At 39.9% G+C, this 19,052-nt stretch overlaps 3 annotated features.

Moving 5' to 3' along the window:
• Positions 1,464-1,758: a silencer, noted in NCBI's record as "tiled region #15181; HepG2 Repressive non-DNase unmatched - State 24:Quies". NCBI's record gives its function as "represses a minimal TATA promoter and a strong SV40 promoter by Sharpr-MPRA in HepG2 cells {active_cell/tissue: HepG2}" and the evidence as "EXISTENCE:reporter gene assay evidence [ECO:0000049][PMID:27701403]".
• Positions 1,464-1,791: a biological region, named in NCBI's record as "Sharpr-MPRA regulatory region 15181".
• Positions 1,591-1,791: a silencer, noted in NCBI's record as "peak1395 fragment used in MPRA reporter construct". NCBI's record gives its function as "represses an SCP1 promoter by STARR-seq MPRAs in K562 erythroleukemia cells {active_cell/tissue: K562}" and the evidence as "EXISTENCE:reporter gene assay evidence [ECO:0000049][PMID:32103011]".

Consider the following 19,052-nt stretch of genomic DNA (forward strand, 5'->3'; position numbering starts at 1 on the left):
GGGAAGTTAATTATAATAATAATCACAATCATATAAACTAACATTTATTGGGTCCTTACTATGGTAAAGTGCTGAGGGCTTTACATGCATTATCTTCTTCATTATCACAGTAACCCTTTAAGTCAGGCACTTTCCTACCTTTAGTTCATGGCAGAGAAAGCCAAAGCACAAAGGAGTGAATTAGCTTTCCCAGGATCACACAGGAAGTTGATGATTCCACTTGCCTCAAAGTCTATTATCTCATTCATTAGGCTACACTGCTTCCTCTGCAAATGAAGAAACTGAGGCTTAGTTGTATTCATTTTTGCATGTCCAGAACTTTACAGTGTACATGGAAAACACTGAACATTTAGTAGCTACTAAGGGATAAAATAAAAGCTGGAGGAAAGAAAAGAAGGAGGGGAGCTCTTTGACTTAGAAAAAAAAATCAGCCAGGAAAGCAGAATAATACATTCATATAGTAAGTGGTAGTGGTAGGACTATCACCACCAGGAAGCAGTTGTTGAAGGGCAACATATTTGCAAATATTTAGAGTTCTGATTTATCTTGAAGAAGGCAGACTGTATACACAGCTGTATTCACACCTGGGTATTTGTTTGTTCTATAAATAATTGCAATGTGTTGTGTTGACAGTCCAGAGCTATGCAGAGAAACCACTCCTGGGTTACTCATCTCACCCCCAAACATCCCAGGATTCTGAGGCCAAGTCTTCATCACAAAGCAAGGGCTTTCTATTCTCTCGTCCTGGCCAGAGAGTCAGGGCAACACAGACACTTAATAGAGGAATGATCAAAGAGTTAGAAAATAGTAACAATGGTCAATTCTTGATTATCAATAAATAAAAAGTACATTAACTTCATAGATTCATAATTTATAATTATTTACAAACATGATTTGAACTTTTATGTCTTTCAGAAATGTTATAATGCTTTGATACTTTTCATTGCCTTTTTTAAAAAAACATACACTATTTAAGGTTATTCTGATATGTGTCTGTCTGATTCTGAATATACACACTTTATGAGCAAAGGCTACATCTTTGTGGCTTTTTAAAAATTTCTTTATCCGCAGTTCCTAGCATAAACATATAAAATGACACATAAAATTTCTCAGTAAATTACTGAGAAATTCATAATTAATCTGTAAATCTTCAGTTTCTCTGTATACCATCAAGAGATTGAGTGTTTTAGTCAGAAGAGAAAATAGGATTTCACCTGTTGTCAGCTTTCTCTGTCTTTTCCATTCCAGTTCATCCTATCTTCTACATCTACTTTCTGCTCATCCTTAAAAGCAGATTGGACTGCCTATTTTTTTAAAGCTGTGCTTTCCATTATGGTAGCCTCTAATCACAAATTTCTGTTTACATTTAAATTAGTTAACATTAAATTATGTTAAAAATTTGATACCTCATTCACACTTGCCACATTTCAAGTGCTCAATAGCCTCATGTGACTAGTGGCTACTGTACTGGATCCAAAGGTAAAAACCTTTCCCTCTTCTCACAAATTTTTGTTGGATAGTGCTGCTGAAACCACTTCCTTTTCTCCAGCTTTTAATGGAAAGATTTTATCAGGAGTCTGACTCAAGCTTCTCTCACCACACATCTATGCTTTTAAATGCACAAACATGACTGCTACAATTTTTCAGAATAATCTGGAGGCAAGCACAGAGCTTGTAGGAAATGTCTGGGGGGCTATTGGTGAAGGAGTAGACTGATGAAAGTGTCTGAGCTATGACCGTGTTCCACATGTGAATCAGCTTTCTCTAGGACCTGTGTTATTTGAGCAATTACATGTCTAAGGCTAGATTGTTTGCCTTCTGATAAAGTCGAGGGGTCAGGTCAAAAAATACCATATTGCTCCATTCTTTTCCTAGGATGTGAGGGAGTGAGTGTGAATCATTTATGTATTTCCTATAAATATTCATGGAAGATTATATATATGTATAGACATATGTATATATTTACTCTGTGTATGGTTAAAATTCATCTACATTATATTTGAAAGATCTGATGTTTACCATGCTAGAACAACTGTTGTACAACTAGAAATCACTTTGAAGGAAGAACAGTAAGGAGGATGCCCTTGCTAAGGAGGAGCATCCTGGAGTGGGCAGCTTGTGAGCAATATGCCTTTTCCCCAGGGATATTGTTTTCATCCTAATACTGCTGGTATAGAGCCCATTGCTGTGACATTACGGGCCTGGCTGTTTACTCTATCAGACGGTCTCTCCCATTGTCAAGCTGCTCTCTCCCACCCATTCCCACTATGGGAATGAGCCAAACCACTTCTTTTTATCCACTCATTTAAACACAACTGCAATGAGAAATTTTTTTGTTAAAAATGGTTGGTTTTCAACAAGCCTTTAATTTATTAATTTATTGAATGCTTACTGTATGTTGGGCCCATTATGGCCATTAGTTTATTTGATCATTGGTAATACCCTGTGAGTGCAATACCAGTAACATACCCATTTGACAGATGAGGAAAGATATATTGAAGCTGAGGGAAGTTAAGCATCTTTCCCAAGGTCACATAGCAGATAAATTTAGAGACTCTGATTCAACATGAAACACATCATTTCAAACAGTTGGAAAAGTGGGTGAATTAGGATAAAAGGAAGAGGATTTCATGTTGTATATTCTAGTGATTTATGTTTGCAACAGAGCTGCCACTGTCTAGGGATCCTTCCCTAATGTGGAAAGGCCATTCCTGCCCCAGACTTGACACTTACACTATAGTGTGCATTCTTGCTATATTATTTCCCCATGGACATGTTCATTTTCCAACTACAGTCTTCCTTCTCAGCCCTGAAACTGCACAGTTGCAGGCCAGCACACTAGGTTTTTAGATTGGTGAATTCCCTGTACACTTCCCTTAATTTCCTCAGCTTTCATTTTCACACCCGTAGAATGAGGCACTGACAGATACCCAGGCAGAGCAACCAAGCACAGCACCAGCTCTTGTTTCAGATAAGATTATTCACAAAGACAAAAGCCCGCAACATTTAACAAATGCAGGTACAAGCAGCCAGTTCAGCCTACCAGGGGCAAGGAAAATAGATTGCAGTGTCAACTTAATCAATGGTTCATCACTGTACTTTTTCAGTGCTTGAATCTTATTAGGATTGATGCTGCATTGCCCAGCTGAAAATCAATCTTGAATTTTTCAAATGGCTCCAAACTGCAGAAATACAATTGTAAATAATTTGGCAACTTTTCCAAATGCCTTGGAAAAATCCATGCAGAGCTAAATGAGGCTGGTACATGAATGTGCTTCTGACTGAGGTTTGGGGGCAGGAAAAGAAGATGAAGAGATCAGCAGAGTGCATGGTGGAGTTCCAAATCCAAGGCAAATTGACTAAATCCAGTAACTGAGGTCAATTTGGAAGATGCTGTGACTCAACACAGCAGTATGAGGGTTAGGATCTCTCAATACAGAAACTGACTGCAGGCTAAGATTGGAATAAAGATCCTATACTAGAATTATTGAGTTTTTCTTTGGAACCTGACTCAGCATGTAGAAATGGCTTCAGGAATAATATGGGTTACCAGGACAAAGGGAAAGATGCAAAGATACAGTGACACATTAGCTAACCTAAAGAGGTAAAGAGGGCATAAGGTGGAATCTTAGAGAACCTAAACAGGTCTATATGTACAGCCTCAAGTTGAGACTAAATATATGACAGATTAATGTTCAGTGCAGACATTAATAAAGAGTTTCTAAGTTATAGGACATAAAAAAATCCTAAAATAGCTAATAGACTCATGAATGTTAAAAAATTAAAAAAGAGAGTGAGCAAGAGAGAAATGTTTGCATTGTGATTAAGAATGTGGACTTTCAAAATTAGTGAGATCTAAATGAAATTCTGGCTCCACCATTTAGAATATGACCTGGTGTAAGGTACTCAACCTCCTTGAATCTCCACTGCACAGCTGTTAACAAGCCTAACACTTCCCACCTCTCACGGCTTGTTGAGAAGATTAAATGAAATAATTGAATGCTGAGCACTGTGATTGGCACATAATGCATGATTCCAAATGGTATAAGTTGATACTATCATAGTTAAAAAGAGAAAAAATAGGATTTTGGTCTTGGCCATTCTTATAGATTAATTGTATGACCCCTCAAAATGTTTGCTGAACTACTAACTCTTGATACCTGCAAATGTGACCTTATTTGGAAGCAGGGTCTTTGCAGCTGTAATCAAGTTAACATGAGGTCTTTAGCATGGTCCTTAATCCAATTTTCTTATATGATTTGCATCCTTATAAGACAATAAGAAACACAGAGATAGACATGCCAGAAGGAAAGATGATATGAAGACACACAGAAGATAGCCATGAATCCCGAGGCAGGGATTGGAGTTATACAGCCACAAGCCAAGGAGCACCTGGGGATACTAGAAGCTCTCTGGTGTATCCTCCAATAATGGCATTAATGGCATTGGACAAGGGTCTCACCTTCATGACCTCATCTGACAATTCTTACTTCCTAAAGGCCCATCTCCAAATACCATCAAGTTGTGGGTTAGGGTTTCAACACGTGAATTTTGGGGGGACACGAACATCCAGTCCATAACATATGTTTTAAACTAGTAAGGTATATATTATCATTTTTCTCTCCCAAATATATCATGAGATATGGTTAAATCAGTTCAAATGACATTTTGGGAGAAAGGGCAGAATATGCCCAGTGATGAGTAAGACTTAGTTTCTGCCCCCAAAGCATCTTACAGACTAATGGAAGAGATAGATTGGTAACAAGACATTCCAACACACTACGGTAAGTGCAGTGCTGGAGGTGAGCCTGATGGGTAGCTCTGGTTGAGAAAAATCTTCCTGCAGGTGACCCCTAAGCTAAGGAAAAATCATGTGTCTCATTCTTTTTCATCCATGAGAGCACCTAGCATACTGCAACTGATATAGTTGGCGCTTAATACATACTTCAATGAATGAATGAATTAATTAATCAATCATATTGCCACCAACCAGATCATCCAAAACCTTACCAAGTTCAAGGATGCTCTATGTTAGAATCTCATTATAATATTCTAAAATGTAAGTTGATATAATCTAGATAGTGCATAGGAAAGAAACACAGAATTTGGAATCTGAAGAATAATTTTTAGTCCTAACTTTGCCTTCACTTAGCCCTGGGACTTTGGATAAGAAAGAGATGGAGAAGGACACATCTAAGAGCAAAGGAAGTGGTTCAGCCTGTCAGCTCTAAAACTGTGATTCTGGGATTCCCTCTTTAGATCTCATCTATGGAGCATTATTTATAACATCCAGAGTGCTAAAAGGAGCTCATTGTTCTATATAAGGTAGTAATTCCTGAAAAGGGCCTAAAAATTCTAATAATAACCACAAAATAAATGTTTGTTGAATTGAAGGAGTAGTATAATGTAGAGGTTCCAATGAATTTTATTCATTCATTCAAAAGTATTATTTAACTACTACTAAGTGTCAGGCTAGGGGCCAGGTAATGATATATTGATATCTGTATTCAAAGGAACGTATACATGTATATATTTAATTTTTTAAAAGTTTAAATATATTTCTCCTAAGAACTTTCTAAAAGGCTTTTTAAACTTTTCAACCTAAGTGTTCTGTTGCCACAGTCTCGTGTTAGCAATGTTCTATGGAAAGGAATTCCATCTAATGCTTTTAGTGCTAGGCTCTTATATCTGAACCATGTGGTTATTGTAGTTGACAAAACCCAAAAATAGCTTTATAAAATGCAGCCTCTTTATTCCCCTTAGAATTTGAAATGTTTTAATATAGTTTATACTTCACTTCCAGCTTTGGGGAATGTAAGTATATTTTACAATTCTCTCTGAATTAAAGCCCATCTCTGTATCAATCCAGGTTTCCTTCTTAGCCTTTTCTACAGCCTAAAAGATAATAGAGTTCAAATATATAAAAGAATGTCAGTCCAAATCTCTCCTCTCTGCCTTGGCCTTAGTTTCCAAAGAATCATAGAATATAAACAGTAAAATGATCACAGCAGTGATTTAATCCAACTCGTTTATTTTACACATAAAGAATAAGGCCTAGAGGCATGAAGTGATTACCCAATGTCACCAGCTAATTACTAGTGGGGTTGAGACCATAACCCCAAGTCTCCCTCTGTGCCAACTACTCACCTCTGCGGTGGTAGTGCAAAAGCAGCCATAGACAATATATAAACAAAGAAATGTGCCTGTGTTTCAATAATACTTTGTTTACAAACACAGACAGTGGGTCAGATGTGGCCAGTGGGCCATAGTTTGCCAATTCCTGGTCTAGACTTGTATTTGCTATTCCTGATCCTAGAAACCCTCTTCCTCTGATTGTCAGGGTTGAGAATGAAAGCTACCATCCTTCTTCCCTTGTTGTAAGAACAACATCATGTGAATGCTATACATTCATTCCACAGATACCTACTAAACACCTACTTGATGGGAAAAAAAAAAACAATGTAACAAAATTAGCTGAAATAATAGTAACAGTGTATTTTATCTGTTGAGTACTTACTATGCCCAAATTACCAGGAAAAGTGCTTATATATGTGTGTATATGCCTCTCATTATTCTTATAAAACCCATGTTACTTCCAAGGAAAGCAAGGCCCAGTAGGGCTAGGAAACTCATGTAAAAGCACTCAGGCCAAAAGTCCTAGAGCTAGAGCTAGGATTTGAATCCAGATCTTCATGGCTCTTACCACTGCCATCTACTGACTTCCTGAGATTGGGGGTGTAGGAAGGAAAGTTATATCCCTGGGTTGCCTTCAGTTAGTACCAGGGATCCCTCTCTCTATTCCTGAACTTCTCTCTTGTTTGGCAGTAATTTGTATACACATAGACAACCAAGAATGATGCGGGTTATTGAATCAAAGTAATTACAGAAAATCACAGTGGTATATTAGTCTAGCTTTCAAAAGAAGGTTGAGAGCCAAACTATAGACATGTTTAAAAATAAGATAGCAATCAATCTCTCAATATGTATGATTCATGCAGTCTGACCAGCACAGTGCCAGGTACTGCTGCTCACACAAGCAAGATTTTCGAGCCCTGAGATTGAGGGTTGACTCTTCAGCTACTTAGCTGAAAGAATTTAGACCACTACCTCAGACTTCAATGGTTACATACTCTTTTAATAAAATAAGAACATTTTATTAAACTCTCACCAAGGCCCCTTCTGGCTCCAGCAGTCTAGTTAGTGAGTCTACCAGAAAGGTGAAGTGCAACACAAGCAGCCCGTCTGGGGTTGGAAAGGTCTTTAAAGAACTACCCCTGCTACATAAGGTTTTTGTGAAGGATCTTTCTAGGGAACAAAATTTAACAAGGAGCACCTGACTTTGATGCAAGGGTATGCAACTGCATTTGCATGAATACACATATGTGCATATTTGCCCAACACTATAATGTTGCTCCCTGAAAATGGAGGGTAAAAGTAGACTGAACAACAGGTCTTCTCCAGCTAAGACATAAGGAGGGAAAGAAATAGAGGTGAGTACATCAGGGGCACCATTGAATAATAAACTAAAACACCACTGATTATGGGAGAAATGTCAGATTCATATAAATTTTTAAAAGAAGATGAAATAGAATGGCTGTAAGCTCACTGTCCGTGGAAAGATTCAAATAGCAGCTGGACAATAACATTTTTGAAAATTATGTAAAGGAAATTCAGGTACCAGATAACAGTATAGCCAGATAGTAACCAAGATTCCTTCTGCCTCTGAAATTGTGTGACCTTAGGAAGTATGAAGAGATTTGTTGGCTCATTCCCTGCACTGACAAATCAAGTGTAGAAGCATTCCAGTGATCATCTGGGTTTAGCTCCCTCTCCCATGGAGTATCATGAGCACTTAACACAGCCTTTCTACAGTCCCAAAGGACATTTTCTCCTGCCTTAGGGCTTAGGCAGCTCTACAATTATTTATTTGTTCAACATGTGTGCAGTGACCTTGAACTCATTGTGTTTTTCACGTAAGATAGATAGTGCCTGAGAGCTACAAAGGTGGCTCCATGGAGTTCCCAGCCCAGTGCTCTCCAACTTCCTGTTCACAATCCACAAATCCTTTGATTGCCATTTGGAGTTTTCCTCTGAGTAATCAGAACCCTCAGTAAAATGACTTACCTCCCTTGTCACTGAAGTGTAAGAGGCGGATTAAATATTCTTTCACTCATTTAACAAATTGTATTGTACCTTCCATGTGACAGGCATGGTGCAAACCACTGGGAATACAGGAGCTACTTGCAATTAGCCTTACCTATCCTTGCTTCACAACATTAGTGTTGTGATTGATAATGCCTTGCATCTGGATCTCTGTGTACACAATGCCAGGACTCAGACATCATTCCAATATTCAACAGAGAGAAGTATCACTGCTGGAGCCAAGTGTGATGAGATGAAATGGAATGCAGTGTCAGCAGTAAGAGTCTGATCACAGGAATGATTTAATCCAACTCCTCTATTTTACAGATAAAGAATAAGGCCTAGAGGAATGAAGTGATTACCCGATGTCACTAGCTAACTACTAGTGGGGTTGAGTGAGACTATAACCCCGTGGGGGTTACACTCTCCTCCACCAGGTACATCTTTGTTTCTAACTCTTTTATTTAACTGCTTTCAGAGGCTTAGCAATAAGTTGCCCAACTTTATCTGTGACTAAGCTCTCAGATGTCTTTATTAAAGTCCATTGTTTGGACTCTATTTTGGAGCTTGTCCATTTCTCCATGCAGATTATCCAACTGAGCATCCAACTCGAAACTTTCTAGAAAGGCCATGATGCCCACCTCCAGTTATCATATGCTCTGACTTCTCTCTCAGTAGATTTCCCTTTACACAATTCCTAAAAGAATAAAGCTGGGGTGAAAACCACAATAATAGTAACAATAACAACAGCGGCACATATTGTCCATTGATACTCAACACATCATACCTGTACTTCTAAGCTGTCAACTCTACTGCAAGGGCCGAAAACCCAGAACCTGGTATTTTCCACATTTGCTTCCTCCAATATTTGTGTTTGATCAAGTGGGCACTTGCACAAGATTTATAAAACATAAAAGAAAAAGGAAACCATTATTTTCAGCTATGTGCAGGCAAGTGTGCGTTAACAGGTAGAGTGTTTTTCCAGAAGCTTTCTGGCATATACTTGATAATCACTCACTTCCATGATCCTGGCAGTCAAGACCACAGGCAGAGGCTCCTCTGTGATCCCTGGACATCTGTATATTCTGAAATCCAACAGTGATCTTCCTAAGTATCCTGTCCCAGGCTGTTCCAAGTTGTATAAGTCTCTCTCTCTGTTAAATCCCTTCCTTCCTGAATGTCCTAAGTGGCTTCAGTTTCCCTAACAGAACTGCATGGAAGATTATAACAACTAACTCACATAAGTAGATCATATTATTGAGTCATACTATTTGTCAGGTAGTCTTCTAAATGCTTTATGAGTATTTTCTTGCTTATTCTTCATGACTAATTATTAGCCTCATTTGTTGATGAAGAAATTGGGAACAGAGATGTGAAGCAACTTCCTCCACAAGGTCTCCCAGGAGCTGAATGGAAAAGCCGAGAGGAAGCAAAGGGCGTCTGAAATCTAGACAGAGCCAGAGTAGTCACCTAGACTGTCTGGGATGAACCATCCCTTGGAGAAGGTGCCGGGAGAAAGTCTAGGCAGGCAGACAGGACATAGGATCCAGAAAACTGTAGTCCAGGAAGAGGTACAAGGGTCAGTTTCAGAGGAGGTAAAACGGAAGATACAGATAGGCAAAGAGGCAGTTAGCATCAGTGAGGCCTGGCAACATGAAGCAAGACACCAATTGCTAAAATAGGACATAGGGCTGGGACTATAGATACCCGCAGGGCTCATCTAAACTATCAAAAGTGTAAGTCTTGAGGAAACTTCGGCACCAGGCCAGCTAGCCAAGCAGGGACTCAATACGGGTAATAAGACAATAATTTGAAGTGGAACATAGGGTCAGAGCAGAACAATGCCTACTGGAAGATAGGAAGCCTTCAAAATATAAAATGTGATGTCATGCCTTAGCATGTTCTTAGCTAGCTCTCCTTAAACCATTCTGAAATTAAACCAAATTGTTATCAGTGTCAAGTAAGAAAACGGGCTTAGAGGTGAATGTCAAGAGGTCTCTATTTTGGAGTTTATAAAAATGAAAGGATAGGAATTAGAGAACTTACTCCTGTATCATGCTACCTTACTCTTTTCCCTTATCTTCCCTTACCTTTTAGCCATTCTCTTGTCGTAGAAAGAACCATGGCTACACAAGACCTAAGGAGTGGAAGCTACAACGGGGTGTATTATGTGGGGTTCCTGCATATTCATTCAACTGCTTTACTCAGGAGGTGTATGCAGGAGAAGGAAGTGAGTGAAGTGGGATAAAGCAATGAGGGGAAAGCCAAATGGTCTCAACTAGAGACTACCTTCATTTTGGTGTCACAGAGAAGCTCCGAAGAACAAATTATACCACAGACTTAGTCCCACCTTGAAGTGAGTGGGCTGGACCTCTTCATCACTATACCAGTGAGTCTTTAGCTGAATGTTGTCCCTAAAGGAGTGAGGAGGGATAGCTTACAAGGTGAGGTGGGTTTTTTTTAGTCTAATACAATTCTACAAAGAAAGAGACAGCTGTAAATTATTTTCAGCTAATGTTCCCAGCAGGTGGGTTATGGATACACTGGTTAATTTAAAACATCTGAGCAACCTCAAGATTGTGGAGAAAAAAAAATGCTTTTAAACTGTTGGTGGGAGTGTGAATTAGTTCAACTGTTGTGGAAGGTAGTGTGGTGATTCCTCAAAGATCTCCAGGCAGAAATACCATTTGACCCAGCAATCCTATTATTGGACATATACCCAAAGGAATACAAATCATTATACTATAAAGACACATGCATGCATATGTTCACTGCAGCATTATTCACAGTAGCAAAGACATGGAATCAACCTAAATGCCCATCAATGATAGGCTGGATAAAGAAAATGTGGTACATATATACCATGGAATACTATGCAGCCATAAAAAGGAATGAGACCATGTCCTTTGCAGAGACATGGATGGAGTTGGCAGCCATTATCCTCAGCAAACTAATGCAGGAACAGAAACCAAACACTGCATGTTCTCACTTATAAGTGGGAGCTGAATGATGAGAACGCATGCACACATGGTGGAGAACAACACACACTGGGGCCTGTTCAGTGGTGGAGGGAGGGAGAGCATCAAAAGAATAGCTAATGCATGCTAGGTTTAAAACCTACGTGATGGGATGATCTTTGCAGCAAACCACCATGGTACATGTTTACCTATTTAACAAACCTGCACATCCTGCACATGTAGCCCTGAACTTAAAAATTGAAGAGAAAAAAATCTGAGCAAGGCAAGAGACCACTACATGATTGCAGCCACTACAATCGACCCCTTGCACCACTTAGATCCATTTGTTTCTTCCATTAAATTCACTCTATTGAGGTATAGCTTCTCCAGAATTCTGATGATCCCAATTTCTTTGGGATCGTTTACAAGAGGATAGTCAACTGGGATAAATTACAGCCTTTGCTGCTGCTGTTAAAGCATAACTGATATTAATTACCCCTAACTTCTAAAAACATTTTAAATTTCCCTCCCCTTGGGCCAGCACCTCTACCAGTCTAGGTGACTTGTCTGATGGGTTCCCCCAAATGTTTAGCCCTAGGGTGTCTGAAACCCTGGTTACTATGCTCTCATTAGGCCATGATTATTCTATTTTCCAATTTGCAGTTACAAATAGTCATGAGAGTATCAAGAGATGCCCAAGTGAATTATCTCTATGCTAAATATATTTCTCCTTGACTTCATTATGTAGGAGCAACTCTACAACCTCATGATAATCAGGGTTAAATATCCCCACCACTACAGCAACTCTTTTCTTTGGTTGATAGTCAACAGGGTTGAGGGTAGCTAGCACAAGGTGGAAGCCATAGCTTTACATTAGGAATACATTTACTGTGTCCCCTGGTGGAAGCATCCCCCTCTTGGACCTAAGACCTCTAAACCTGCAGCACAAACATTTTCAAAAATTAGATGTAAAAACATCATAATTTTTAAAATATTGGGAGTGAATATTAATGGTGCCACTTCTACTCTCACCCCTTGTTTCTGAGACTGATATATTCTACTTATTGGTTATTATCATGCTTAATGGTTTAAAATGTACACCGACAGCTCCTTATCTTTTCATGGTATCTTCTCAAAGCTAGTGCTTCAGCTGTGGCAGCAACAGGTTATTTCATTGCTCTACAATGTCATCAATTTCAGGATTAGGATGTGAGCTAGGACCAATGGATGCCACAGCAATTTGCTCACAACCACATCTCCTTTTCTGTAAAGTGGGCAATGTTATATGGGATTCCATGTTGTTAGATCAGTTATCCCATTTTTCCCACTTCATCGTTTGATTCACATGGCTCTTTCTCTGTACTTTTCGTCCCCAGGTGTCCAACCTTGCTCCTTCCAAAGTTTCAAGTCTGACCAACTAACTAAGCCATTTACCATTGCCCATAAGTCTATGTAGATCCTTAGTCCAAACCACTTTTCTGTACACAGAAAGTGGAAAATCAGGTTCAAGTACCTGAGCTCTTCCCATTGTCCCTATGGAATTGTGGCACTGTTGTTGCATGTATAGGCAACAGAAATCAATGGGAGGTTTGCCTGACTTTTTCAGTGGCATTTTAGGGCCTGCTTCTATTCTCTCTCTCTCTCTCTCTCTCTCTCTCTCTCTCTCTCTCTCTGTGTGTGTGTGTGTGTGTGTGTGTGTCTCTGCCATTTTCCTTCTCCCGCTTTATCTACTTTCATTCAAATACGTAAATGGAAAGGGTTTCCACTCCCCACTGTATTTTAGGGGCTCTCCTGAGTGAGGCTGTCATGCAGCAACAGCTCATGTGTGGTTCATATCCACATACCATGCCAGCCCATCCATTAACCAAATTCGACTTTTTCCCCCTTCATCAGCTGGTCATGGGGAGCCCCCAGCATGAGGGCCTACATGTGAGCCAAGGAAACAGCAGCAGTACAAGATGTGACATTGGGGTCTGGGTCTCCTGTTGTGTAGTTTACTTGTGCCCTTTGGGCCTTCTCAAGCCTGATGCTAGAGGCACCACTTCCATTTAATGACGAAGTATATCTGGGCTTTCTCATCTCAGCATCTCACACAGGACAGAACACATCTCTTGATCTATAGCTCTGGCCACACGATCCCTTGATAAATCATAGTCAGATAATCAATTTCAATCAGGTCCTAAAATCTTGTCAGGAGAAGTTTTAGAATGATATAGCTCTCTGCATATCTTTCTCAACTCTGCCCCCAACCAAAGCTAGAAATATAGGAGTATTTCCATGTTTGGAATATGCTACCTCCAAAATTCAAAGGGGACTCTGAAGTGCTCTGCTTCTTTCTTAGTGGAGAAGGAACAAGGTGAAATAATTTGTCCTTTACTTTCATAGAGATGTACTCGCATGCCTAGACCACTGGGTTCCTATAATCTTCTTCAATATGGCAGATCCTGAATCTTTGTAAGATTCAGCACCCATCTTCTTGGGTGCATGTTTCAATCCAAGGCATCCAAATTACTTGCTACTTACTGTTTATCAGGTCAAATTAACAAGGCATTATTAATTTTGTAGACTAATGTGATGTTTTCAATTGTCCAGACAGTTCAGGCCACATTGGAATAAATTATGGCAGAAAACATGAGAATTTAAAGCTCTGGAACTACATTGTAAATGTATATTTTTGTTTTTAATGATCGTTCTTGATTAGTATGGAAAAGAACACAACTGCCAGATCAATAGCTTCACACCATGCATCAAAGTCTGTGTTAATCTTCTCTAATAAATCTACCACATCAAATATAATAATTGCAATTGGGACTGCTTTTTGTTTACATAAAGATGGTTCACTGTTACCCGTCATGATATATTGGTTTTCATAGGGTCCAGGATGATGAAATAAAAAGGGATATGATGGGGACTGCCAACAAGGATGGCACTAAATGCTGTTATTCCAGGATGTGTTCCTATTTTTATTTACTTGAGGAGGCAGTTTTGGGACCTTCAACTTGACCTTTCTTTTAACAGTTCTTAGTTGTACAGAACACAGAACCAGTGTAGGGATTCTGTCAACTGCTAAATGCCTCTTCCAATTATATATTTGGGAAACAGTGTCCTGATCAGGTAAGCCTGTGGATCTCAGTGAATCTATTTGTTTTCTAACATCCACCACATGCCCATTCTATCAGAGGGACCATGACAGCAAATATCAATGTCAACTCAGAGTCTCTATCCGAAAGCTCTCGAAAGATCTAAACATTCCCCTTGTTCCACTATATTGTGTATACTCAAGTAAATAGCCGAAGAACTTCAGGAGTTATTACTGTGTACACTTGCCATTATGTTTCAGATTCTTTATCATGGGGACCCACCTATTCATCAACTGATTGTCTTGGAGCATGAGAACTATCCCAGGTGTCAAAAAAGAGACTATGACTTCTGTTGTGGCAGCCAATGTCAATCTTTTGCTCACCAATTTATGATCTCTTAATTTTATCTATTAAGCAATATATGTATTGGCTGACCTCCTTTCATGCCTTTGAAAACACCATGTTCTAGAACTCTCTCCACAGATACCTTTGGGATAGGTCTCCTATCGGCTTGTCCAATCTTGTTCTCCATGACAGCAATTACACCTACCTTGCTTCTGATTGCAGATGCTGTCACCTGCCTGTTATACTATGATCCTATCATCTCTGTTGCTACCACAGAGCTCAAATATATAACAGGATCATCTACTGTTTGTTCCTGTCTGCATAGAGCAGCCACTAGGAGGCTATCAGGGATGCTGGTGCCTCCCTCACCAGCACATTCCCTATCACCTGGTAAACAGCGTCCTCTGGGCTTTCATGAAGAACATGGTCAGCTATTGTAGTCTCCTGTAGTGTTCTATTTTAGCATACTCACTTAGCTGGACATTTTTATATTCCTGTTTCCACAGAGAGCAATAGCAGTTCTGGCATTCCTATTTTGTCTGACATGAACCACTGTTTACTTCCAAGATTTTTTAGCCATCCCCACACTCAGGGTTATTGCCAAGGTACTAAATACTGTGTCACAGTAAAGTGCCACACACACCCCCTGTCCTAACAAACTTTATATTGTATGCCCTTGATCTAGCTTCTTTAGGACCCACTCACAGATATGGTCTTTGATTCCCGGCCTATATATATTAGCATAGTCCTAAAGCTATTTTGGCATATAGTCTCTCTCCTACCTTAGTAAGAGAGTTGGGTTATACTGTAACTTAACTTCAGTTATGCACATAGCGACCAGAGGAGGTAGGGCAGATCATGAGGCATCTTGAAAGGCAGGCAGGGGGCCTCATTTATGGCATCTCACAGTATTTAAGTCAGGAGGCTGGGTAGCAGTACTCTATCGCCAACAAAGTGAAGAAAGCTATTTCTGCAGGGCCAGGGAGTTCAGGGGAATTGGGGGATTCAAAGTTCTCAAAGGCATCTACCAACTATCCCCATCCCAATTCTCAGAGTCCCACTCCTTCCCCATGAAGACGATTTTGGCATAGAAGACTTAGCTAGGCAGGGATTTCAGGCTTCTCTGAAGATCTGCTCTCTTCTAATTAAGTCCTGTTTTGACTCTCAGATGTACTTTCCCTCTGCAGGAGATGAGGGCTCGTTTTAAAAGCTTCCAAGGAAGTTTTCTGCCACTCACTTTGACTTAAATTGTTGTTATCTAGATCTGAAACTGTCATTATCTGTCTTACACGAATCAGTGTTGCTTAGGACAGCCACTTAATGCCATAGTCCTTAGAGTTGTTATTTACTGATACATCTCAAACACCCATCATGTTGCACTAGATAGCACATCCCTTCCACTTGGATCTATCCCACTTGACCTCAGGAGAACATCTTGGCAATTACACTGCTACTGCATGCCAGAGACTCTCAAGACTCCACTTAGCACAATGATGGGGTCCCCATTGCCATCCACCCAGTGGGGGATCTAATTTCAGAATACCATCTCAGCATTGTTTGTGGTACCAACTGCCCTATGTCCACAAGCAGAGCCTGAGAGGGGAAATGGAGTGCTCTCAAGAGAGGGAGAGCAAGGGAATCAGTGACAAGGACAGGACAAATGCTAAGCAAGTATCTGACTTTGGACACCACAGAATTAGTCCTTCCTTGAGGCAACTGGACTGGCCTTTTTTTGCCAGTCTGTCACCATCTGAAGTCTACAGTAGGTGAGGAGGGTAGCACATAGCAATTTCTGCTCTCATTTACCAATGTATAATTCCTTAGAGAGAGAACAGCTGTAAGTTGTAATCACCAGCACTCACAGTAACTTGGGAATGATGTGCAGCAGAGAAAGGGAATCTGGGCTGGGCATCAACAGTAACCACTATATAAGAAAGTAGGATTCTGTGCAACAAAATTTAAAAGCTTCTAATATAATTAATCAATTGGTTATTAATAAGTAATCATTAATGATTGATAAATAAAATAATAAATGTTTTAAAGTCAAATAAACAGCTGCTGGTATGGGATAAGTTCCTTGTCACTAGAAAAGTGCAATCAGCCCTGGCTGGTCATATGGAGCGGGCAAGAAGCAGGTTCAGTGGGCTTCAGGTCTCTTCCATGTCCAAGATGCTATTACTAAACTTCAGTTGCCAGGAAGAAAAATTAGGAAAAGGAGTGAGGAAATATGAAAAATTGAGAAGGGAAAAAAAAAAAACAAAATCAAAGCCCTAAAGAAGAGGGTATTTAGCTAAAGTCATTGGCCATGGACTAGGTTGGGGGTGTTTATAAACCCCGGAGATGTTATGCTAAACTGTGTATAAAGGGAACATGGGCCAGGCACAGTGGCTCATGCCTGTAATCTCAGCAATTTGGGAAGCCAAAGTGGGTAGATCATTTGAGCTCAGGAGTTCCAGACCACCTTGGGCAACATAGCAAGACCTTGCCTCTAAAAAAATAAAAACAAAAAATTGGTAAGGTGGCATGCACCCATGTTCCCAGCTACTCAGAAGGCTGAGTTGGGAGGATCCCTTGAGCTCAGGATGTTAAGGCTACAGTGAGCTGTGATTGCACCACTGCACTCCAGCCTGGGCAACAGAGCAAGACCCCATCTCAATAAAAGTGAGGGAGGGAGGAGTGTGCATTTTGGTAGAAAACCAACCCATAGTTTTCTTCATATCCACAGAAGTGCAATGTCTGTGCAATAATCAGACATTAAGGGCACAGTGAGAGAGGAGATCTCTCTTAGAGAAACAAAATTCTTCATTGGGAACTCCCCTCACTTTCCATACATCAGGGCTGAGCTTCCTTGCACTATTTGGAACATGTGTTGATTGAATTTCTATAAGAGAAGATTGAAATAAAAATGTCAGAGAATAAAGACTCCACCTGAAATTCTGCATATGGCTTACAAGTTTTAGACTGACATTTTGCAGGCCTAGTTTTCTAATGGAGAAAAGACCAAAGTGATTAAGGACACTTCATTTGTCCTAAATCTGAAATGAAGCCATTCTTGGTGACTGCCCCCAACCCCTGCTATAACCCATTCCCTTGCCACATACGTTTTGACTCTTACTGGAGTGAGAGAAAGTTCAAATTTGGGAATAAAATTATAAGGAAGAATTGCCACAGAGAAGATAAAATTTGTATTGTATAGATAACACATTTCTCTGGAATCCAATAAGCCCCAGCTCTGCGTCAACAGCACACAGAAAGAGGAAAAGATACTCAGTCCTTGTTACTTACTGAGCAGCTCCACTTCATGATTCATTGGTGAGCATGGGCCTGACCTGCAGGACATGCCCTTCTGTGATTTTTATTAGGACAACATTGATTTGGTCTATTGGATAGACTCATGGAAGGGATTTTATGGTTAATCTAAATGACTTCCTCGTTTTACCAATTAATAAGCTGAGACTCAGAGCAGAGAAGTGTCATGCTTGAAAATGGCAGAGGTGAACCTAGCCCTAGATAATATTGTATGGAACTAAGAGCAAAGAGTCTGCAACCAGATTGCCTGGAGCCAAATACCAACTGCCGTTTATTGGCTGCATGACCTGCAGCAAGCCAGTAACCTCACAGTTTACTCCCAGGTACAATGGAGATAATGTTATTGTAGACACAACTGAGTGCTTGGAATGGCTTAGCACAGGTATGGTACATGGTGAGGGCTAAGTTAATGTTAGCTTTATTGTTGTTATTTGGATAAAGGTCACCAAGCTCCAGATTCAGTATTTTGTTCAATAAAGAACACTGGATTCAAAATTCTGGATCTTTCACCTACTAGGTGGGACACTTTGGACATCTGACAATCTATACGAGCTCATTTTCTTATCTGGAGGGTGGAGGTAATAGATCCTACTTCATGGAACTGTGTAAGTACAAAAATACTGAGTGTCAAGCACCTCATATTGAGAAACACAAAATACTGCTTGTCCTGCCCAGCTATTCGTGACTTCTTTCCTAAGGGCCTTTATTTAGAACTTCATATTTGGAGAGAAGAAGGTAAACAGTAGAGATCTTACAGAAAATTAATGACTATATCATTTTTATACAGTCTATGCAATTTTACCTATGTAATCTTCATTATCCTCAATCCAAAACTGTGTCTACTATTAGCCCCATTTTACAGAGGGGGGAAGAGGGTCAGGAATATTAAAGACCTTCCTCAAGCCTACAGTGTTAATAAGCGCTAGATTAAGGATTCCAACGAAGGTGCCAGGATGCACCGCTCTTGCCATTCTCCTCCTCCGCTCTTGCAGGGTGGGCAACTAACATCACAGTCTTAAGCCACTCCCGTATGTAACTTTCTGTTCTAGTCTCTAAGGTGAATATAGATGTAGGAAAAGGAAGAGAAGAGTCATTTATTGGGTGCTCCTATATCCAGGCTCTCTGCTATTGCCTTTACTGATATTACCACAATTTAGCAAGACACGACATCCCATAAGCCTGGAAACCAACTTTAAAAAGAGAGTGCAGTGTTTTGTCT

Source organism: Homo sapiens, chromosome 11 (genome assembly GCF_000001405.40).
Source record: "Homo sapiens chromosome 11, GRCh38.p14 Primary Assembly".
In the NCBI taxonomy this organism is placed as follows: Eukaryota; Metazoa; Chordata; class Mammalia; order Primates; family Hominidae; genus Homo; species Homo sapiens.